The sequence below is a fragment of the Homo sapiens genome, chromosome 18 (assembly GCF_000001405.40).
Source record: "Homo sapiens chromosome 18, GRCh38.p14 Primary Assembly".
In the NCBI taxonomy this organism is placed as follows: domain Eukaryota; kingdom Metazoa; phylum Chordata; class Mammalia; order Primates; family Hominidae; genus Homo; species Homo sapiens.
This window is the reverse complement of record NC_000018.10, coordinates 54,961,505-54,986,025: the sequence shown is the minus strand read 5'-3', so window position 1 is coordinate 54,986,025 and position 24,521 is coordinate 54,961,505. Positions and strand designations below refer to the sequence as shown.

At 38.4% G+C, this 24,521-nt stretch overlaps 2 annotated features.

The window, feature by feature from the left end:
* Positions 9,765-10,964: an enhancer, noted in NCBI's record as "MED14-independent group 3 enhancer chr18:52642293-52643492 (GRCh37/hg19 assembly coordinates)". NCBI's record gives its function as "activates an origin of replication core promoter dependent on BRD2, BRD4, P300/CBP and CDK7 cofactors, and independent of MED14, by STARR-seq in HCT116 cells {active_cell/tissue: HCT116}" and the evidence as "EXISTENCE:reporter gene assay evidence [ECO:0000049][PMID:35650434]".
* Positions 16,887-18,086: an enhancer, noted in NCBI's record as "P300/CBP strongly-dependent group 1 enhancer chr18:52635171-52636370 (GRCh37/hg19 assembly coordinates)". NCBI's record gives its function as "activates an origin of replication core promoter dependent on BRD2, BRD4, P300/CBP, MED14 and CDK7 cofactors, with strong dependence on P300/CBP, by STARR-seq in HCT116 cells {active_cell/tissue: HCT116}" and the evidence as "EXISTENCE:reporter gene assay evidence [ECO:0000049][PMID:35650434]".

Genomic DNA, 24,521 nt, shown 5'->3' with positions numbered 1-24,521 from the left:
CGTGAGCCACGAGCCTGGCCAGGAAATTCTTTTTAAGACTCAAATGATTAGTCAGAAGTAAAATGAAGCGCACATGGCATGTTTTATTAAAGTGGGCATGCCAGTTACACTATATTTTTAGGTAACTTGGGGGAAATAAGAAAATCAGCACAATTAAAAGTAGTGTAATTCCTATTTGAGATATGATGCCATTTGTATCTATTAAAATGTCTTGAATGGCTGGACTGATCTATTCATTCATGCAAAAATATTTATTTAGTGACTACTGTGTGTCTGACACTCTTTTGGGTATTAGAACTATATCAGTGAACAAAACACAAAAAAACTTCCTCTATTCTGAAAGCTTACAGTAGAAGGAGAGAGATAATGGTCAATAAGCATTCTAAGTAAATCATATAATATGCTGAAAGATCACACATGCTATTGGAAAGTGAAAAATAACTAGAGTAAGGGGCATGGGGAGTGCCTCAGGGGAGGTTGGGGGACAGTTACAATTTAAAGATGACATTTAAAGAAAGGCTTAGAGGTGAGAAATTTCTGTGGAGGTGCGAGGAAGAGAGGCAGAAAGGGAAGCTGCTTGAGTAAAGGCTTTGACATGGGATCTTGCCTCCTGTCTAAAGAAATGCACAGGCCAGTGTGGACCAAGAACAAGGTGGGGACAGGCGTGGAAGAGTAATAAGAAAAGTCAGAGAGGTAGCGGGGTCAAAACTGTCTAAAGCCATGAAGGCCATTATGGGTACTTCGTCCTTGGAGAAAAAATGGGAGCCCTTGGAGGGCTTTGAGCATGAAAGCCGCCACACTCTGATAGCTGAGTCACATTCTTAAAAGTATCTACGTCAAAACTACAAGGTCATGCCTCTTCCTAGGATGGGCTGCTGGGGGTGGGATGGTGTGGAGGCCACTGCAGGAATCCAGGTGACACGGGATGGCCCAACCACAGTGCTGTGAGAAAGGGTGGGTTCTTGGTATACATTAAAGGAAGAGCCAAAATAATTTGCTGATGGGTGGGATGTGGTGCATGAGAGAAGTCAAAATGACTTCAAGGCTTTGGGCCTGAGAACTAGAAGCAGGGAGTTGTCCTTCCCTGAGGTGGGAAAACTGGGAGGAAGAGAACATGGCAGAAAGAATAGGAGTTCCAATTCAAACATGTTAAGGTTGAGCAATCTGCTAGATATTCAAACAGAGATTTCCTGTATTAAGGAATACTAGAATCTAGCTTTGTGGATTCAGTGGAAAAACTAGACTCTTCTTTTCAAAGAATATAAGCATATCCGGAGATTCACAGATTTCTGATTTCCAAGAAGGTTGGTGACTCTTAACGTCTGTTTGTTTTCATTTCTCCTTTAAATTACATTTCCATTTTATTAACCTAAAATTTTGTATATATAGTGTAATTATTCCTCATCAGGATAGACCCAGTTATTTATTTCCAAATTGCGAATTTTGTTTGGTGATATAAATTACCAGTCAATATCACAAAATCTTGGAAAGCATCACCTACATCATTTCAAATGCTAAGCAAAAATGGACTTGTGAAGCCCAGCATACCATTAAATTGTATATTTAGGGATTTAACTTTAGATATCCCGAGTTGCATTTTAGTCATCCAACAATCATTTATTGAATAAATACCATGATCCTGGAATCGTGCTAGCATCAGAGGGCCCAGAGACTTTTAAAAATGCCCTTTTGGCATCTTTAGGAGCCTGTATGGGCAGAATGGTTGGCTTATGGAGAGGGTAAGGAGCTTTTAAATGACTGAAATATTCATTGTAATATAACTACGAATTCAAGCTTGGGCATATGGGTGGCGGAGCACTGGAGGAAAGTACAATCTCTCTTTTCTTCATTCCATGTGCAAATTCCAGCTCCAATTTTGTGGACAATTCTTTTATTTACTAGTTCTTAGTACAACTCTTTCTATTACTGCATCAAGAGGTGCTGGTCCTTCTCAGAAATGACAGGCAGAAATAGGTTAATTAGATCAAATATTCACAGCTTCTGGGTTGCCCTCCCAGATCACAGTGTTTTATCCTTTAAACAGTGACCACTGAAGTTCGAGTCTGGAAATGGGCAATGCTTTGTCAGGCAGGAGTAAAGGAGTGAGCTGCCCAGATCCCCCCCACAAGAGTGTCTGCTGTCTTCAGTCTAGCAGAGAGGACACACTGGCCCTCTTGTTTTCTTTCTTGGAAGCCTAGAGCCACTTCCGAGGATCATACGCATTCAGTAAAGAACTTAATATCACCCCCCACCCCCAACGTGCCATATTTAATACAGTGAAGTCCAGTCCCAATGTTTTGCCTGTGATAAACTGAGGAAGGTTTCTGCTCCGACGAGGACCTGGGCTCCGAAGGCAGGTAGTCCATTCATGCCTCAGTTCCACAGCTTGGGGCCCAGTGACTTTGGGTGAGTCACTTAATCGGCCCCTGCCTTGGTTTCTTAATCTGCAGGAAGGGCGGGTGGTTATGTAGTAACAGGGTTGCTGTGAGGCTCATATGAGATAATCCAGCTAAAGCTTTTAGCACACAGCTTAGTACAAAATAGATGCTCAATAAACGTTAGGCATTTTACATTCTGATTTCAGTCCTTGAGTTTACAGTTAAAATTTTGATACATCTAGAGCCAAGACTAATCGTGTGAAACAAGACAGCCCTACAGACAATATCTAAGAAGATCCCCTCAGCCCTACTCCAGGATCCTAAATACGTACACTGTTTCAGGAACCTGGATGTCTAGACGTTTTATGAAATGTCCACTAGGTGGCAACATGTTGTCATATTTACTGTCCGCACTGTCTAAATTTCTAACAGGGATCCTGAAAAACCACATTCACCTTATCTGATACTTAACAATTTTATCATAAACAAAACCAGATTCGCTACAGTCATTATTTCAACTAAAAAAAAAAAAAGCTCCAGTTAGTGGGCTCTTGTTTTAAAAATAACATATTTGTTATTCACATTGTTTGAATGGTTATCCTTGTATCATACGAACAATATGATGTTAAATATCACACTTGAGGATTTCTCTGTTTTTTATTCTTATGCTCCTATTTGATTTTTAAATGTTTTAACACATTGATTACCTGACAAAGGATGAAGGATTTAGATGTTTGTCACGATTCAAAAAAAATCTCATTGCATGACCTGGTCATTTGGCATCATATTAACGACTTGGGGAAAGAAAGGATAAAATTTTTTTTTTCTTATGCATTTTATGTTCTTAAATCAAAGTCTCGATGCAGACCCCAAAACCAAAAATGCCAGCAACCGCACATGGGACACAAACCTTGTGTTCTACCAGGCTGGGATTTTTCAGAAAATTCAAAGTAATCTCTCTAAAATGAACATATACTTTACTTTCCTTGCTATTCCTTTAAAGTGTGTTTTTTTGGAGAAATGTAGATAAGGAATGAAGGAAGAATAAATGGATGACTCTGACATAAAAGGAGGCTTTGGGATGCAACTGTTATGTGACAGCAAGGAGTAAAAATATAAGAATTTGTGGACGAGGAAGAGAGGTGGTAAGAAAAGGTTCCCAGTGATGTGAATTAGGATTGAAGAACTCCAGCCTGAAGAGGGGATTGTTATGTGGAGCACAGTTAGATAATAAAACCGCTATAAAGACACATGAGAGATTTGTATGATAAAATGTTATGTTATCTTATATAATAAATATTTTGGTACATGATTGAGAGGTCTTTGAGAATGCCATGATACATTTTATTGTTCATTTATATTTATTAAAAGCATAAAATAAAAGGGTAAATAGTTGATATTAACAAATAAAGTTCCAGAACAAGTTCTGTCTATAGGCATTTCTTATGAATTCTTACTGTCTATAGTAAAATAATGATATATTACTGATCACTACACATGTTAAGCTTTTACTTTTTAATTAAAACTGTCATTAATGATCCAGCTACTGCCTGGAAATTAACCTCAGGCTTATTATAAAATTAGCATTTTCAAAGTCATATTTTAAAGCAACATTTAAATGTCTGTTGTTCTTAGTGGTAGGGGGCTCCATAGTAGGAAAGGAGGCATATTGATTACAACACAGATTATTGAGGAGGATTGTCTCAGCATACCCTTCCAATTATATTGAAAATCACCTTGTGATAAGACATAAATATCTGTAAATGTTATATAATGGGGTTTTATCTGTTTGTTTTGCAGAAAGCACACTGTTAGTAAACAGATGGTTTAGAACTATTATAGTTGCCAATAACTGGAAACTTGGCCCTAGAAAGGACAAAATACTGTATATAATTGTTCATTAAACAAATATTTATTGACTCTCTGATGTGGGCCTTAGAAATTCAATAGTGATCCAAATAGGCATAGTCTCTGACCCCACAACTGCTCCTAGATTCTAATAGAAAACAGACAATAAATAAACATTGTAACACATGTGGTAATGATGGAAAAGAAGGCTACAGGAAATTTGAAATAAAAGAAGAAAGTTTACCTAGAGTACACACTGGAATTTAAGTTTACTAAATAAATGACTTGTACATGTAAAACAACAACAACCAAAAACCTAAACAAAACCCCATATGGTTTAATATTGCTAATTAATGATCTTTCAAATAGCCAGTAAACATGTTTCACAGCACTACCAATTTGTTACCATCCTGCTATCCTTCAAGCTAGCACAAAATCTACAAAAGAAACTCTTCATCTGATTCCCATTTAACTGGCTCTCTGAAATTAATCTCTAGTGTCCATGGCATGGATGCCATTGATAACATCTGTGAGTGATGCTCACTGCCTCTGGATCCCACAGCTAGTACGCTAACTCTCTGGAACCCCAGATCCTCTTCTCACATGACTGGGTTGTGTGTTTATTAACCATCAATTACATGCTTTCCCCAAACTGATGTGTACCAGTTCTACTCTACATTTTAGTTTTATAATTTACTTGAATATCTTGTGAACTGATGAAGTAGGACAAAAAAGAATAATTGTTTTTATGAAAAATAAGTTGAATGCTTTGAAAAGGACCCAAGGATAAATTGCTAAAAAAGATTTTGCTCCCCAAATAGGAAATGGTAAGAAAACAATGGATTCGAAAAATCAATGAAAATCTAGAAGTGTCCTGTACTTAGATTTCCTCCCAAGTATGTTTATGTCCTCACTTTTCTTGAAAAGAACTGAAGCTGGACACTTTAGACTATGCTCTTTTAGGTGTGTTTATTTAAAATCAAGATGCTTAGGCTGGGCACGGTGGCTTACGCCTGTAATTCCAGCAGCACTTTGGGAGGCTGAGGCGGGCGTATCACTTGAGGTCAGGAGTTGACCAGCCTGGCCAATATGGTGAAACCCTGTCTGTAATGAAAATGCAAAATTTAGCTGGGCGTGGTGGCACATGCCTGTAGTCCCAGCTACTCGGGAGGCTGAGGCAGGAAAATCACTTGAACCTGGGAGGTGGTGGTTGCAGTGAGCTGAGATCACACCACTGCACTCCAGCCTGGGTGACAGAGCAACAGCCTGTCTCAAAAACTACAAAACAAACAAACAAACAAAAAACAACTAACCTGGCCTACACATATTGAACTTTTCTACTGCAAACATTCAGTGGTTCCTTATGAACCTGACAAATTAAATGTATATTTCTCACCATGGAGTTTCAAGCCTCCCAAAATATAATGGTGATTTACTTTTCATGTAGTATTTCCTACTATTCCCCTGCTTATATCCTGCTCTCTAGTCAGTACATTACCTGACATGGCTAACTGTGGTAAATTATGATGGTAAAATCTGACAGTTTTATGCCTCCTGGTATCCATGTCTTTGTGTGGCCGCCCCCTGCATTGACTCTGGGCTTGGCCATGTGGTTTGCTTTGTCCAATGAGACATTGGTAAATGTTACAGAAGCAGAGGCTTGAAGGGGATACAAAATTTCAGCCAGATAAGAGGAGTAAGTTCAAGAGAACTATAGTACAACATGGTGATGGTAGTTGATAGTAAAGTATTGTGTTCTTGAAAATTGATGAGAGAGTAGATTTAAGTGCCCTCACTGCAAAAAAAAAAAAAAAAAAAAAAAAAAAAAAAAAGATAAGTATGTGAGGTAATGCATACGGTAATTAGCTCAATTTAGCCATTCCACAATGTATATCTACAGTATTTCAAAACATATTATACACAATAAATACATACAAGTTTTACTTGCCAATTTAAAAAATAAATAAAACAAAGCAACAACAACAGCACTAAACAAAAATAAAAACAAATTAAAAATGCTTTGCATTGGGGATTGTTCTCTTGGAAAATGGCTGCTGCCATGTGGCAAAATCCAAGTCAGCCTTTCTGAGGGTTAGAGCAGCTCACCTGTCCCAGGTGGATCCTGGCTGCCTTATTCAACAATGCTGCTTGAAACAATAGCCTGACCCTAAACTTGAAGACATGGGCTGACCATAGATTAGTCACCTGGTAGGAGCCCCTGGCTGTTCTTTGACCACAGATGGACTAGTTCCCAGGCTAGCTGTACTGTGTGATTTTTCCTTTTCCTGAACCCTTAGCCCTGCCTTTACCCTCCCCACTCCTGTGTCATTGCTCCCGGGAAACCATCTGAATGGAAACCCCATTGACAAAAATAACACACCACTTACAGAGAGCCTGTTGGCCATCCAATGTAAGGTAAATGATTGAAATGTGTGAGTCCATTGAATCTTCGCTTTGGACACGTTTTTCCATCACACAAAAGTTTACCAAACACAAAGTTGGAAAAGACCCTTTAAGAAATTGTTTAATATACTTCTAAAATCATTAAGTGCCATAGAGAATAACATTTCCTTAGGATTGCTTTCTTAAATCCTATAGCCTTCATTTTCAAGGAAAGTGGCTTGATATAAGTGCAGGTGTGCCTCGTTTTCTTGTGCTTTGCTTTATTGTATCTCGTAGTTACTGTGTTTTGTACAAATTGAAGCTTGTGGCAACCCTGTGTCGAGCAAGTCTATAGGCACGATTTTTCCAACAGTACGTGCTCACTTTGTGTCTCTGTGTCATATTTTGATAATTCTCACCATATTTCAAACTTTTTCATTACTGTATCTGTTATGGTGATCTGTGATCAGTCACATTTGGTGTTACTATTACAATTGTTTTGGGTTCAATGAATCACATCTATAGAAGACAGTGACCTTAAGTGATAAATGTTGTGTGTCTTGACTGTTCTAGCTTCTCTATTCTTTGAGACACAACAATATTGAAAATAGGCCAATTAATAACCCTACCATGGCCTTCAAGTGTGCAAGTGAAAAGAAGAGTTGCAGGTCTCCCATTTAAAGCCAAAGTTTAGTGAGGAAGCCATGTCAATAGCCAAGATAGGCTGAAAGCTCAGCCTCTTGCACCAATGGTTAGCCGAATTAGGAATGCAAAAGAAAAGTTCTTGAAGGAAATTTAAAGTGCTACTCTAGTGAACACATGAACGATAAGAAAGTGAAACAGCCTTATTGATGATATGAAGAGTTTTAGTGATCTGGATAGAAGTTCAAACCAGCCACAACATTCTCTTAAGCCAAAGCCTAATACAGATCAAGGCCCTAACCTTTAATTCTATGAAGGCTGAGAGAGGTGAGGAAGGTGCCCAAAAAAAGTTTGAAGCTAGCAGAGTTTGGATGTATGAGGTTTAAGAAAAGAAGTCATCTCTATAACATAAAAGTGCAGAGTGAAACAGCAAGTGCTGATGTAGAAGCTGCGTAAGTTACCCAGAAGATCTAGCTAAGATGACTGATGAAGGTGGCTACGTGAAACAACAGATTTTCAATGTAATGTAGACAAGACAGCCTTACGTAGGAAGAAGATGCTCTCTAGGACTTTCATAGCTAGAGAGGACAAGTCAATGCCTGGATTCAGAGCTTCAAAGGACAGGCTGACTCTCTTGTTAGGGGCTAAAGCAACTTGTGACTTTAAGTTGACGCTGATGCTCATTTACTATTCTGAAAATCCTAGGGCTCTTGACAATTACGCTAAATCTACTTTTCCTGTGCTCTATAAATGAAACAACAAAGCCTGGATCACAGCACACATGTTCACACCATGGTTTACTAAATATTTTAAGCCCACTGTTGAGAACTACTGCTCAGAAAGAAAGATTCCTTTCAAAATATTACTGCTTATTGACAATGTATCTAGTCACCCAAGAGCTCTGATAAAGATGTACAAGATTAATGTATTTTCATGCATACAAATGCAACATCCATTCTGCAGCTCATGGATCAAGGAGTAATTTCGACTTTCAAGTCTTATTATTTAAGAAATATATTTCATAAGGCTATAGCTGCCATAGACAGTGAGTCCTCTAATGGATCTGGGCAAAGTCAGTTGAAGACCTGTTGCAAAGGAGTCACCATTCTAGATGCCATTTAAGAACATTTGTGATTCATGGGAGGAGGTCAAAATATCAACATTTACAAGTTGATTCTAACTCTTATGGAAGACTTGGAAGGGTTCAAGATTTCAGTGGAGGAAGTAACTGTAGATGTTGTAGAAATTGCAAGATAACTAGAATTAGAAGTGGAGTGTGAAGATGTTACTGAATTGCTGCAATCTCATGATAAAACTTTAATGGACGAGGAGTTGTTTCTTATGGATGAGCAAAGAAAGTGGTTCCTTGAGATTGAATCTGCTGGGGAAGATGCTGTGAACATTGTTGAAGTGGCAACAGAGGATTTAGGAGATTACATAAATTTACTTGATAAAACAGTAGGATAGACTTCAATTTTGAAAGAATTTCTACTGTGGATAAAATGCTATCAAACAGCATCACATCCTACGGAGAAATCTCTCATAAAAGGAAGAGTCAATCAATGTGGCATACTTCATTTTTGTCTCATTTTAATAAATTTTGTCACAGCCATCCCAATCTTCAGCAACCACCACCCTGATGAGGCAGCAGCCATCAACATTGAGGCAAGACCCGCCACAAGCAAAAAAAACTATGATTCTGAAGGCTAAGATTATCAATAGCACATTTAGCCGTAAAGTATTTTTAAATGAAGATATGTACATTGTTATTACACACTTAATAGACTACAGTATAGTTTAAACATAACTTTTATATGCACTGGGAAACCAAAAAATCTGTGTGACTTGCTTTATTGCAATACTCACTTTATTGTGGTGATCTGGAACTGAACCCACAATATCTCCAAGGTATGTCTGTAACACTGTAAAAAAGAAGAAAAATCACAAAAGGGTAATAGGCCAAAAGTCTTAAGTTTTGAATAAAAATATAAACTCAGCACTGTAAGTGAAACCATTATTTCTAATTTATTTCTAGTTGATGGTATATTCGTCCCAAATTTTAAAGATTTAGTTATAAATGTATCAAATAGTTTAGTAATTTTCTAGTTAATAGCAGAAAAGAAATTCTTTATCAAGCATATTACTCTATGAGACTGAAAAGAAATATGCATAGACTTTCTGTATATTAGCTAGATTTTCATAGCCTAGGAAGGTTCAGCTAAGTTTCAGCCTTGGACCAGGAGGCTCAACATGATCCTGGGTCTTGGCTACTGTAATGGAAAAGCAAAGATGCACATATGGGATTCTAAAGCTATGATCAGTGTTGTGATTTGAAATTATGTTTGAGGTCCTGAGACATGGGTTAAATTTAACTTAGATCATTAGATGAATGTTAGGCTAGGATTTCAGCAGTAAACAATCTGACAGGCTGATTGGCAGCCTCTTATTATAGAGGCGTAGTGATTAATTAACACAGAGCTTCATTAATTTTGTGAGGCAAGGAACAGTATTTCTTTGCAGTGAAAATCAATATTTGAACACTTGGAGCCTCTTCTCTGAGCTAATTTACTCAGATATTTAGTTCACTTTAAATTCTCAGTTCTCTGTAAATGTTCTATGCTTCCAACTATTAAGGTAATTGGGAATATTTATGATATCCTTCCTCAAGTTATTTTTGGAAGAATGTGAAGTGTAAGTGAATATATTCTGGTATTCGTGTTTCAATTTCAAAAGCATATTTATATTATTGTATGGGTCAGGATGTTAAACTACATTGTTAAAGGCAAGAATGTATGTAGAAACTGTGGGAAAATACTTACCACCCTGCTTTTGGTAGAAATTATATCAACATTCTACTCAATGTGCATTTAAATCATTTTGCTATTGTCAAACTCTAGAGAATTATTTCCTTAATTATTGGAGTGAGTCTTAGGGACTCTGTGGAAAGGAATTCATGCTCTTGACATATGACTCAGCAATAATTTCTATTTTGCAAATAAACCAAGAATTAGAGATTTTCTTTAGCCTAGAAAACAAATTTCCTGGAAGCATCCAAAGAGAATTCAGAGCCTGGAAATGGGAAGGGCTGGGATTCTTCCTCCAGGTGAGAAAAGGATGTGATACCTGCCAAGGAGCTCAAGATGAAGACTGAGCAATACGGCGGTCACTTGTGCCCTCTGAGGCCTGAGCTCAGCACAACAAATGAAGGTGCCCTGCTTCCCTGAGGAAGACGTAGTGAATGTGGCATAGAACAGCTCCACAGCACAGAGACACACAGAGCGATGGAGCAAGGTGGGAAGTGGGCCTTATGAGAGCAGGTATCCTAGGGCCTTTTTGGAGAGGTGGGGCAAGAACTCACTACAAGACCAGAAGTCCAGGGAGGACTTGGGGATACTGTGTCTTCTTTTTCCTTCTGCTGAACCAAGAGCTAGAGCAAAGCTAGAAGGACCCTAGAAGGGAAGAGAGCAGAAAGTAGAATGAAAATCGTGCCCCTTTGACAGGCCACAAAGGGTCTTGGGAAGCAATGATCAGGAAACAAGTTCCAGAATTAACTGAGCATCTTGTGACATCTAAAACTTACCACATTCTCACTGCACCTGTGTGATAGCTATATTTTGCTTTAGCTTTCCAAACAATTATTTCCAAAGGCATAGTTATTTGGTTAAGCTAAGTTTTTAAGTAAATATTTTTAGTCTCTTTAAGATTATGGAGTGGAAAGCAGCATCTCCTTAGGACTCAAGTATGGAGTTGTCACCAAGTTTAAAGTTCAGGGCGAAACAGTGATACAGGACAGGAGGGGGCAAGAGAGGCACCTAGGGAGAATTTCAGGGTCAGCTGTGGACACTTGAGGCCCTGAGCGTCCACACTCAGGTCAGCTGTGGACACTTGAGGCCTGCTTCTGTTTCCAGAGGCACCTGAAATGCTATATCCTGCGCATCTGTGACAGCTTGATACCACACACAAAAATCATGTGCACACAAAGGGGACACTTATTTACTCGTAAAGATAAGCTGTGACTTTTGCTTACTATCTGCTTTTAGGAACAGGATGAGAATTATCCTGTTCCAAGTTTGAAACTGGTCACCTGTTTGAACTGTCCTAAATAATATCTTTATGTTTTAATAAATTATTATTTTACAGATCATCATCATCAAAACATCATATACATATATGTAAGCTTTAAATGGTTATGTACTAGTCACATTAATTAATTAACTAGTTGGATTTCTGCTTGACTTCCTCTATTTTCATCGCATCATGAAATTTACCAAGAAATACAAAATTTCAGAGCTACATACATCTAGTATTTCTCCAAATGTATTGGTTGTTTTTCTCGGTCTTTGATACACCCTTTTCTAAATATTTCCCATCTACACTCACTCCCTAGATTATTTCACCCATTCTATATTTTCATATACATTTAATAATTCATATATATATTTGTATCCAGTTTAGAACTTTAGTCTAATACATTGAGATATGTAATTGTTAGCTGTCTGCAACTGGATATCTGGGAGGCATTTTAGATAAAAAGTTTTAAAAAGAAACACTCAATTTTCCTTTAAAACCTACTCTTCCTTCTGCTATTCTAATCTCACAAATTAATTCATTGTAGAAACACTATTGAGTACATCTTATATGCCACATATTGCTGAAGATATACCAGTGGACACAAAGGCGGGGGAAGGCAGAAAATAGGCAGTAAATAAAACACCCAAAGAAATATCTAGGGTGTTAGAGGGTGATCAGTTCTTTATAAAAATAAGAAAGAAAATTAGATCAGCGTATAGTGGAAAGAGGTCTTCTGCATTAAATAAGAGGATTAGAAAGATGTCATCAAGGTGGCATTTGAGCAAAGATTTGAAATTGGTGAGGGAATTCAGCATACAGATACCCAAAGGATACTCCAGGCATAGCAAACAACCAATGGTGCAAAGAGTGTAAAGCCAGAGCCTGCCAGACACACTCAAGGAATAGCCAGGAGTCAGGGTGGAGGGAGTTGGGGAGAAGGGAGAGGAGGAGACGAGAACAGAGAGGGAGTAGGGACCAGGTCTTTGCAGATCCTTGCAAGAATTTTGGCACTGTGACCTGATTATATTCATGTTCTTGAGGATCACTCTAGTAATGATCCAGAATAGATTTTAAGGAGGCAAGAGTGGAAACAGGGGCAACAGTTAGGAAGCTATTGTTATTTGAGCTAGGAACAATGATGACTTATTCCAGGGTGGTAGCGAAGGGATGGATGTATTTTGAGGGTAGAGCCTATAGTATTTTCTGATAGACTGGTAGGATAGGAAACATATGGGAAATATAACAGAAAGAGGAAATTCAAGGATGATGTAAAGATTTTGTGGCCTAAATGACTGGAATTATAAAGTTTTCCCTCTACCGAGTGAAGAAGATTGCGGTAGAGCAGGTTTGTGGTAAGATCATGAGTTCCGCTTTGAACATGCCACGTTTAAGGGTCTGTTGGACATCCCAGTAATGATGTTGAGCAGGCAACTGGGAACACGAGTCTGGACTCAGAGGAGAGGCCCAAGCTGGGAGATTTGTGTTTGTGAGTCATCAGTACATAAATGGCATTTAATCAAGGAAGTGAGCTTAGATGGAGGGGCAAGGCAGACCAAGTACTGAGTGGCTAGGACTTTCCAAAATGAAGAGTTTGAGAAAACGAGGAGGACTCATTAAAGGATACCAACAGAAACTGCCAGCGAAGTAAGAGTAACACTGGGAGAGTGGTGTCCTGAGAGCCAAGAGAAGGCATCCACGTCTATTGGGATAGAGAGACGACTGCACCAAATACTGCAGACAGGTGAAGTGAAGTGAGAACTGAGAAGTGACCACTGGACTTAGCAATGTGGCGGTCATCAGTATCCATGACAACAACAGTTTTGTTGGTATGATGTGGGGGTTGGGGGGTGAGGAGAAGCCTGATTGGAATGGGTTTAAGAGAGAGTAAGTAAACAGAAATTGGAGGTAATAACAACTCTTTTTAGGAGTTTTGCTATATATGGTACAAAGAAATGGAAAGGTAACTGGTAGAGGAAGTGGGAATAAGAGAAGATTGTCTTTGTTTTTATTGAACATTTTAAGTGAAGTATAACAAGCATACAGAATGTACAAAAAGCCTAGGTAAAATGTGAAATGTTTTTACAAGGTCAATACTACCCAAAACAGGAAATAGAATAGTACCAGCACCCTGGAAGAGAAGACTCCCTTTTGCCCCCTCCCAGGCACTGTGCACCCAAAAGTAACCAGTGTTTTGACTTTTGACACCGCAAATTTGTTTTTTCACTTTTTGAGCTTTATATTAATGAATTTAACGTGTGCACTTTTGTGTCTGGCTTCTTTCTCTAACATGTTTATGAGATTCACCTGTGCTGTTGTATGCAGGAAGAGCTAATTTATTCTAACTTCTATACAGTATTTAACTGTGTGTTATACCACTTTGTGACTTAAGTTTCATTCTCTGGATCTAATTTAATGAACAGAACTTATTAATTTTAATGTAGTAACATTTGTTAATCTTATCCTTCATAGTGTGTGATTTTGGTATCCTATTTAAGAAAGTTTGCATATGCCAAAATTGTGATGATATTCTTCTATGTTAACTGCTAGAAGTTTTGTTGATTTGTCTTTCATATTTAGATCTACAATGCTGCTGGAATTAATATACACGTATGGTGTGAAGTAAAGTGCAAGATTCATTTTTTTCTTAGTTGGTGGCACTGTAATTGGAAAAAAGTCTTTTCCAATTATAGTGTAACCCTTTCCGTTTTATAAATCATGTGACTGGATATATGTGGATATCTAGACTTTCTATCCTACTCAGTTTGTGGGTTTGTCTATATTTTGGCCATTTACAAAGCTAATTACCTTAGCTTTCTATTAAGCCTTGATATCTGACTGTGTAAGTCCAACTTAGTCCATTTTTGTTCAAGTTTGTCTTGACTGTTTATGGATGTTTTCATTTCCATATAAATTTAATAAATAACTTGTCAACTTCAAATATTAAAATGTCATCATGTTGATTGTAATTTTTTTAAATCTGCAGAGATCAATATGAGAAACAACTGGCATTTTGATAGTACATCTTCCACTTTATGAATCAGTGCTCCAATCTATGAACATAGTATATCCCTCCATTTTCTTTAGGCCTTCTGCAGTTTGGCTCAGCCTGTTTTACAGTTTTTTGTGTAAAGGTCTTGCATTTCTTTGGTTTTATTTATTCCAAGTATTTTATTTATGCTATTGTTTACTAATGCTATTGTAAACGGTATCTTTCTAAAACTTGTTATTTTCTACTTGTTTATTGTTTTTTTACAGAAGCAGAATTGATTAATTTTGTGTGTGTGTATATTAACCATGCATCCAGCAACATGGATGAATTTACTTCTTAACTTAAAAAATTTATCTATAGATTTTTATGGACATTCCACATATATAGTCACGTTATCTATATATGACACATATTTTTTCCTTTTTAATCTTTATATATTTTATTTCCATTTCTTGACTTATTTCACTGGATAAGATCTGCAATATAATATTGCATAAAGCTTTGATGAGGCTAGGCACAATGGCTTATGCTTGTAATCCCAGCACTTTGGGAGGGTGAGGCAAGTGGATCACTTGAGGTCAGGAGTTCGAGCCAGCCTAGCCAACATGGTGAAATCTCGTCTCTAGTAAATATACAAAAAAAAAAAAAAAAAAAAAAGCGAGGTGTAGTGGTGCACACTTGTAGTCCCAGCTACTCTGGAGGCTGAGGCAGGAGAATTGCTTGAACCCAGGAGGTGGAGGTTGCAGTAAGCTAAGATTGTGCCACTGCACTCCAGCCTGGGCATCTGAGTGAGACTCTATCTCAAAAACAAAACAAAACAAAACAAAACAAAACAACAACTGTGATGGAAGTATTCTTACCTCATTTCTGATCTCAGATTAGAGGACCATTAAGTGTGATATTTTCTACGAAGTTTTGTGGATATTCTTTACTGAATTAAGGAAGTTCACTTTTTTAATTTGTTATAAGTTTTGTTTGTCTTTTAATCATGAACAGGTATCCAGTTTTAACAAAAGTCCTTTCTCCATTTTTGAAATGATTCATTTCATTTCTTTATTTTCTTAATGTGAAGAATTATGTTGATAGATTTTTAATAGTTAAACTGTTTTTGCAACCGCGGAACAAGTTCACCTTGGTTGGGTTATATTACCCCTTTTGTATCTTGCTAGAATCAATTTGATAGTATTTTGTCTGAGAGATTTACCTATATATGCTCATAAATGGTGTTGGCCTGTTATTTTCCTTTCTCCTGGCAATGCCAAGGCCAGCTGATAATACCATGTTATCTCCTGACTCTCAGGAGCTGCTTTTTCTTTTCTTAGTCCCATTTTAGACCAAAGGTAAGCAATATTAGACCACAGGGCATTAGTCTAGGATATACAGCATTTTACCATTGCTATGATTTTGCTGATCAGGAGGTTGTCCAGCGAATGTTGCCTGTAGTTGGGGGAAGGTTAATGTCTTCTGTTCTTTTTGTTACAGGATGAGTTATTCAAACCTCTGGTGTAACAAGGGCTGTAAAGTAGCATTTAAGAATCTGAAAGAGATGCATCAGCCAGCTGCAACCCAGTGAGTGTGAGAAACCAAAGGGCCACCCACTCTGTTATTAGACCCTGAAGCAGAGGCCTCAGTTATCATCCCAGGATGTCCCAAAGTTCAGCTGGCCTTTTCTAGAGACCTGGATGCTTTTCTCCTTTATCCTGGTCCTGAACCGTTCAATGTGACCTCTAGAATTTATAAAGGCACAGCAAAAAGTGTTTGCTAAAACATAAACTTTCCCTTGGGTTATGAATTTAAATTTAAACTAGCTTAGAGCAGAAATCATGCTTTCTTAAGAAGTAGTGACAGAGGGTCACAGATTCTACTGGGAACCACAGAAATAAGACATTGACCCCTTAAGGTGGGCAGGCTCATTAAATAGAATTATATAATTTCTGCAAAGCAGGCTGGAATGTCTCTGAAGAAAACAAACTGACCATTGTAGCAAGGATAGCCTCAGGAAATTTCAAAGTCTATTAACTTCAAATCATACCTATTATTAGTATAAATACTTGCTATTTTATCTTTGGTCAGTCAGCATGCCCAGGCAAAGGCAATTAATCGAACTGTTTGAACTATGTTACTTTCTGGGAGAAGCTAATATGTTAAGGGTAAACACACATCTGTGCTAATGTAGCCTAGTATGCAATTTTTACTTTTTCTTTTTAAGTAGAAACCATCATCATCAAACAAAATTTAATCAGCATTATTCAAAGAAGTCTCTCTGTGCAGGAGAGGTAAGTTCCTGCTCCTTAGGGTGAGGGAAGAGAAAGACTGGCTATAGAGTGTTGCAGTAACGAGTAGTGATGTGTGAAGAGAAATGAACAATATTTCATAGGAGGTCAAGAAACGAGCTGTATAAATGGCTGAGTGTTTGCAGTCAGCAGGACAATCAGAAAATCTGTATAGAACTGAGAAATACTACTGATAATAGTTTGGATATTTGACCCGCCCTAATCTCATGTTGAAATGTAATCCCTAAAATTGGAGATGGGGCCTAGTGGGAGGTGATTGGATTAGAGGGGGGGGATTTCTCATAAATGGTTTGGCACCATCCCCGATGCTGTCCTCATGATAGTGATAGAGTACTCATGAGATCTGGTTGTTTAAAAGTGTGTGGCACTTCCCTTCTTCTCTCTCGCTTCTGCTTTCACCATATGACTTGTCTGCTTCTCCTTCCGCCATGATTGTAAGTTCCCTGAGGCCTCCCTAGAAGCAGAAGCTGCTATGCTTCCTGCACAGCCTGCAGAACCGTAAGATAATTAAACCTCTTTTCTTTACAAATAACCCAGTCTCAGGTGTTTCTGTATAGCAATACAAGAACGGCCTAATACAGTTACATTTTGTGGAAACCCTAGGACTAAATCCACTGAGTTAAATTTTAAAAAACAAATACACTTTGCTATTGCTGCTATAGCTTTTAGATAAGGAGGAGATGCCTTGGTTGCTGGTCCTAACGAGAGATTTAAAGAAGCAAAAAGGGCTGAGTATGGTGGCTCAGGCCTATAATCCCAGCATTTTGGGAGGCCGAGGTAGGCAGATCACTTGAGCTCAGAAGTTCGAGACCAGCCTGGCCAATATGGCGAAACCCCCGTCTCTACTAAAAATAGAAAAAATAGCTGGGCGTGGTGGCGCCTGAGGCTGAGGCAGGAGAGTCGCTTGAACCTGGGAGGTGGAAGTTGCAGTGAGCCGAGATTGCACCACTGCATTCCAGCCTGGGTGACACAGCGAGACTCCATCTCAAAACAAAAACAAAAAAACAAACAAAACGGAAGCAAAAAGACCTCTGATGATTCCTTGTAAATGACTCAGTACCTCCAGTGCTTGTTCAGACTTTCCATGAACAAAAGAGAAAATGATTTGTGAGTCTAAATTCCTTTAGTAAAAATCTTTTCATAGACAGTTATTGTTACAGTCTTTGTGCTTCAACAGGAGCTTGATGTTTTTTAACTTAAAAAGTATATAATCATAAAAAGATGTTTGTTAGTATATATGTGTTATGTATAATTAATCTAGGAAGATAATTCTCATTTTGCTTTGTCAGTTATTTTGAATTATCATAAGTTTGGTAAAGAAAAGACATTGCAAAAGAGTTTTGAATTACTGATGTGCTTTGACTGTGTCCCCACCCAAATATCATTTCAAATTGTAATCCGAATTGTAATCCCCACATGTTGAGGGAGAGACCCGGTGAGAGGTGATCAGATTATGAGGGCAGTTTCCCTCATGCTGTTTTTGTGATAGTGAGTGAGTTCTCACGAGATCTGACTGTTTGATAAGTGTCTGGTGCTTCCTCCCTCTCTCTCTCCTGTCGCCTTGTGAAGAAGGTACCTGCTTCCCCTTCACCTTCTGACATGATTATAAGTTTCATGAGGCCTCCACAGCCATGCAGAACTGAGTTAATTAAACCTATTTTGTTTATAAATTACCCAGTCTCAGGTAGCATCTTTATAACAGTATGAAAACAGACCAAGTATCTTACTTAAAATTTAGGGAATTTTATTCAAACCCAATTATTTCTATTGCCTTTTCTTTTGTAGGGTAAACAAATAGATCTTAGTGTTACCTAATGTCCATTTTAAGAAACCCAAAGACAATTGAGGTATGAAAGACATCTTAATGGCTTTATTATTCTGAATTTGAGGCTTGAATTTAGGAAAGGCAAAATAAAAAATAATTGCTGAAGAAGATAAACATCCTACAAATGTCATAAGTATCTAAAGAAAAACAGGTTTGTAGGCAACATTATAAAAATATACAGCAATAACATTAACAATGATAAGGAATATAGTTTTGTTTCCAAAAGCAAGGACTATTTTTAAAAATGACTAAAGACTATATCAAAAAGTACCCAAAATTAACAGATTCTGCAGAATCTCTACCAATCTGGGCATAAAATAACTTAGTCATTTTACAGAAAAAAAAATACCCAAATTCTAATGTTATTAGTTTTGTGCATTATTAGTATAATAATTTATTAATCACTGTTTACATGTGTGTGAAGTTTGACATACACAGATATATAAATGTAGAGATTTATTGCCTACTTAGGTAATAATTTAAAGCATTTAACTATGGCTAAAAAAGAGAAATACAGTTCCTAACAGCTGGGAGATAATTATAGTTTTTTAACTTTTGAGTTCTTTCTTTCCTTCTTTAGTGATTTTCTTAAAGACTCTAATCCTTCCTCCAGATGCCACCTGCCCCCACCTGGCCCCAAGTTGAATTCTTTGGCCTCAGTCCTTATCTTCTTTGTACTTGAAGCCACAGTCATGGTGCCCCCCAGCCCTAGTTTTCATTTGAAGGGCTTGTTACACCCATAGCCCCTGTTGAGGGAAGGGCCCTAGGCAGGCATTTGCTCTGTCATGGGCAACCACCAAGTAGTTACTAAGTCTTAGAAGACAGACAGAAAGTGATGGGCACCCATCCCAACGGCAGCCAAGCCAAAGCATGGCCTGTGACTTTTGAGGTGATCTATGAATAGCTCATCCTAAAGAGGAGAAAGCAGGTTTAATCAAATCTTCACTCTCAAAAATTCAAACTGATAAGAACAAAAATAATCTAGCAGTGTGTCGCCATGGCTGAGGTTGCAAGGATTCATGAAAGTTAGAGCCCATTTTACAGAAACTGAAGCCAGAGAGGCTATGTCACTTGCCTAAGGTCGACTAGCTAACCTGAACACTGCTTTACACAACACTTCATGGCCACTGAAGAGTCACAGGACAAGGGGTAAGGAAGCCACTCAATAGTGGCAAGACACCAGGAGCCATCCTCATAGAAGCAGAGATGCCGCATTAATGCTGGGTAAAGCTTCGAGGGAGAATCCCCAGACTCTAGCTGAAACCCTAAAGCTCTTCCATCCTTATCCAGTCTCCAGGAATCTCAGCGATTGCAGGGTTCTTGCTTTGGGACCTGGATGAGCTCTCCATCTTCCTTATTGCCATGTGGACCCTAATATTAACTCCCCACTATTACTTGAGCTAACATGAAGACATTATTTTTCTTTTCCCAAAATTTTTATTTTGATATCAACCACTTACCAAACCATCAAGAAAGATAATATTTCAAAGAAAAAACAAAAACAAAAACCAAGAAACAGGGATATAGGTATCAAACCACAATTATCCCCCAAAACACTGCTGTTGCAAAAAGGATAGAAAGCCAAAATCCCATAGACTATTAGAGAATACCTTTAAAAACAAGCAAAAATATTTTGTAAAGGTATGGTTTTCACTACAGTGTGTGGACAGGTTCAAACAGTGGATAATCAAAGAAAATTCATCTTGTTTGGCCTGGGAATACAGTAAGCTTTCTTCTATTCCAGCTGAAGAAATAAAAACAAACCAACATGAGCTTCTGAAGTTAATATTGAAATTGTCTTTACCAACTGAAGGTAGCATGAGAATAAAGGCAGAGAAAGTGAACAAATAGCAAAGACAAGTAGTCTTGAAATTCAGTCTCTACCTATAATCAATAAGCTTGTCTAACACAGCCTTCCTACAGCCTTATCCTGGGCTTCACATCCCTCCTCCAAACTTAGAAATACCTGAATTTAGAATGCACATCTCAACCCTCTTGTCTTGTTTCACCTTTCTCTATGAGTTCTTTACTCAGGGGTAAGGGCTCACAGTGCAGAGGGAAGTGTTATTTATTATTCCAGCTACTGTTAAGATAAAGTGAACCAAGCTCATCAACAGAAAGAATGCCTACAGAAATCAGAACTTAATAACTCCAACTGGGTGCTTTGAAAAGACATTTCCAACAGGATATTTAGTTTTGCTAAGAGAGCAGCAATCATTTTAAATAATGATGTCCAGGGCTGACTTTTTGCTGGTTCACCTGGGTTCCTACTCGCCAGTTGTCTATTATGGCTGGCAGCTTTTCTGGTTGGTCAGTACTACTGCTCAACCGATAGGTTCATATTCTGAATATCACTCTTGGTTATGTCATGGTTTCTGTACCTATTATGTGAAAGGAGTCCTAGAAAAAGATTCACCTGTGTAGACAGACTTGTATACATAAGTAGACATTCACATATTGTTGATAAGCATTGGCTAATTATTTTACTAATGAACTCATTCAATAGCCAGAGTTTCAGTTCCTACAATATTGTTTTCCCTTCCTCTCTTAGCAGAGATGGACAAGAAAAATGTATTTCCTGTACTTCTTGTTTGTTTCTCAAGGCTTGCTTACATTTCTCTGCTTTATCTCCCACTAGTCTCCTGTGGTTTGGCTGGACTGGTCTACTTGGTAGATTCCCAGTCTGCCTGAAAATTGACTTGCCCTGGTGCCTTTGGCTGTGTCTGACCTTTAAAGGCTTCCATGCTCTCCCAGAATAACATGGTAATTATTCTCAAAAACCAATGCCAAGCCTACCTCCTCTTGAGGCCTTCCCTAGAACACCAACTAAAATCAGTACTTTCTCTTAGTTTTCTAGTACTTAGTAGCTTCACTAATACTCAGTGATGATTTATTGCTTGAAAATATTGTAGCTTATTATATAATTGCATGGATAGGTATTTTTATGTGCTTATATGTGATCTAGCCATTTAAAGTGCAAACTCTTTGAAATTTAAAATTGTAAAATGGACCCCAACACTTAGCATATCAGCTGTGAACTGTGCAGAATAGATGGAGTTTTGTCCTAAGCTTGCGAGAGACATTAGGTATAGAGTGTTTTCCCTAGCAGTCAGCTAAATCGTGAGCTTGGAGCTCAAAATGCAAGACTTGGAGGGCTCATACAGTTAAATTTTGTCAAGATCAATGCTGCAACTTCCACATTTGCATTCCCTTTTCCTTTCCACAAGTCACAGAAAATGTAGAAAGGCGGTAGGTATGGGAGAGGAGGAAGAAGTTGGAAAATTATCCAATACCAGGAACCCCTTAGGGTGGCGTTATGGGGACGTCACAGGAATGTGAGAGGACAGGAGGGAAAGCAGGGAAAGGCATCACCAAAAAAGTGATGGGAGCATGCCTCCTTTATAATTTTGCAAAGCCTTCTTGATTTTGTGCCTTAAAAATGAAATATTTCATAACAAAACCTAATTAATGTTTGAATTATGACCTGACCTAGGTACAAAACTATGGTAGGCAGAATAATGCCCTCCTGCAAAGAAGTCCATGTCCTAATCCTTAGCCCCTGTGAATATGTTATCTTATGTGGAAAAGAGACTTTGCAGATGTGATCAAGTTGAGGATGTTGAGATGGGGAGATTATCTTGGGTCATCTAGTTGGTCTTAATGTCATCACAAAGGTCTTTATAAGTGAAAGTGGGACAGAGTCAGGAGGACATGTGCTGCTGGTTTTGAAGGTGTAGAAAGGGGCTATAAGTGGAGAAATGCAGAGAGCCTCTAGAAAAGGCTAGAAAATGCAAGGGAACAAATTCTCCCCAAGAGACTCCAGTAAGGAATAGTTTATTTTACCCTGGTACCATGACAGGCTTCTAACCTACAGAACTTTATAACAAAAAATGTGCACTGTTGTAAGCAGCCAAGTGTGGTTATTTGTTACAGTACCCACAGAAAACTTATAAAACAGCAAATGCAGTGCCTCAAGCACTTTATGGGAAGACCTAAGTGGGACACCCAACATAAACTGGGGAGCTCAGGGAACGTTTCCCTATACACAGGAAATAAATGGAGAAGGAGTTTCCAGGTCAAAGAGGAGGAGAAAGAACATTCTAGTCTAGGAGTTGGGGGTGGGGGTGAGACAAGAGCAACAAAAGGAATAAGGTAAGAAACGAGAGTTGGTTTGGAACACTACAAATCATCCAGCCTTGTTGAAAAACAATGTGGCAAGAGATGAAGCAGGAGGGGTGGATGGGGGAGAGCAAAGCAACTTCTCTCCCTGGAGAAGTGTTTAGGCTTTTAATAAGAGCTCATGGGGAGACAATGAAATGTTTTAAAGAATGGTGTGTGTTTGTGTGTGTGTATGCGCACGTGTTAGAGGCTGGAAATGACAGTAAAATTTGCATTTAAAATTGCACTAAATATATGTATGTGTGTATAGACACACACATGTATTTTAAATGCAAATTTAAAATAATATTAAAATAAAATAATTTTAATACATTTTAAATGCAAATTTTAAATAAAATAAAATTGCACTAAGTACACGCACACGTGTGTGCGCGCACACACACACACAACTTTCCCTTTCAGCAAATAATCCCTGAACAGAAATAAACAAGAGCGATTTCAAATATGAGCCTGGGTCCAAATGCCACAAGCCACAGGCTCTGAATGTCACAAGGCAGGGTGTTAGATTTACAATTAGACCCTCTTTGAACGTGGGTGACAATTCACAGTGTTCTTCAGGAGAGGAGACTGCATCTGCTGCTTTCTTCTGCACCCTCAATCCCTCCTCTTTTTAGTGGAGTGAGTAGGAGAACGGATTTATTCAACGAGGGCACTCTGGGTGGTTTGGGGATGCTTTAGTCCCCGGGACCTAATCTCTATCAGACCCAACCAAAGCCATTCCGAAAATTATGTAATAGCAATACTTTTTCTTAATGTGGATAATCTTAAAAGTGTAAAGATATACAGCTCTAGGAAAATTTTAAATGGTTTGTACATATGCTGTCATAAAAATAATAATCAAAGGCAGTAGCTGTAAGAGAAATCCATAAACATCAATCCCTGCCTCATCCCTAATCCCCCAATATCCAACCTCTGAGAAACACCACTGGAGTTTTAAATTAATAATAGTTTATAGATTCTCCTGAGCTTCCCTGTGGAGGTTGCTAATATATTGTAACTCCACACTCTCATGAATCCTGAGTTTACTCTGCTCCCCTCCACAAAAGTTTTATTAAAGTTACTGAGAAAATAGTCTATTTGCAGAACTATGAAATAAAACTATGATTTCATTCTAATTAGAATGACCACTTTCACTTAAAGTCTCTCCTCTCCCGCCCAGAAACGTACACAAGAATCTCAGCTTCATCTCTGACCTTGTCGCTTTCTTCTGGGATATTGTCTTAGTTCCAGGGGCTATAACAAAATAACATAGACTGGTATTAACTGGCTTCAACCACAGTTATTTATTTCTCACAGTTCTGGAGGTTGGGCAGTCCAAGATCAAGGCACCCAGAGATGTGGTGTCTGTGGAGGCCTGCTTCCTGGTTTGCAGATGGCTGCTTTCTTGCTGTGTTATCACATGACAGATATCTCTTCTCTCTCTCTCCCTCTCTTTATTTGAGACAGAGTCTCACTCTGTTACCCAGGCTGGAGGGCAGTGGTACACTGTCAGCTCACTACAGCCTCTACCTCCCAGGCTGAAGTGATCCTTTCGCCTCAGCCTCCTGAGTAGCTGGGACTACAGGAGTGCACCACCATGCTCAGCTAATTTTTGTATATTTTGTAGAGATGAGGTTTTGCCATATTGCCCAGGCTGGTTTCAAACTCCTGGGCTCAAGCGATTCACCTGCCTTGGCCTCCCAAAGAGATGGAACTATAGGCATGAGTCACTATTCCCAGCCTTTTGTCTCTTCTTAGAAGGGCACTAAAACCCACTCATGAGGGCTCTACCTTCATGACCTAATTACTTCCCGAAGACCCCACTTTCACCACCACGTTGGGGATTAGGATTTCATTATATAAACTTTTAGGGGGGAACACAAATCATTCAGTCCATAGCAGATATGGTGAGTCTTAGGTATGAAATGTTTTCC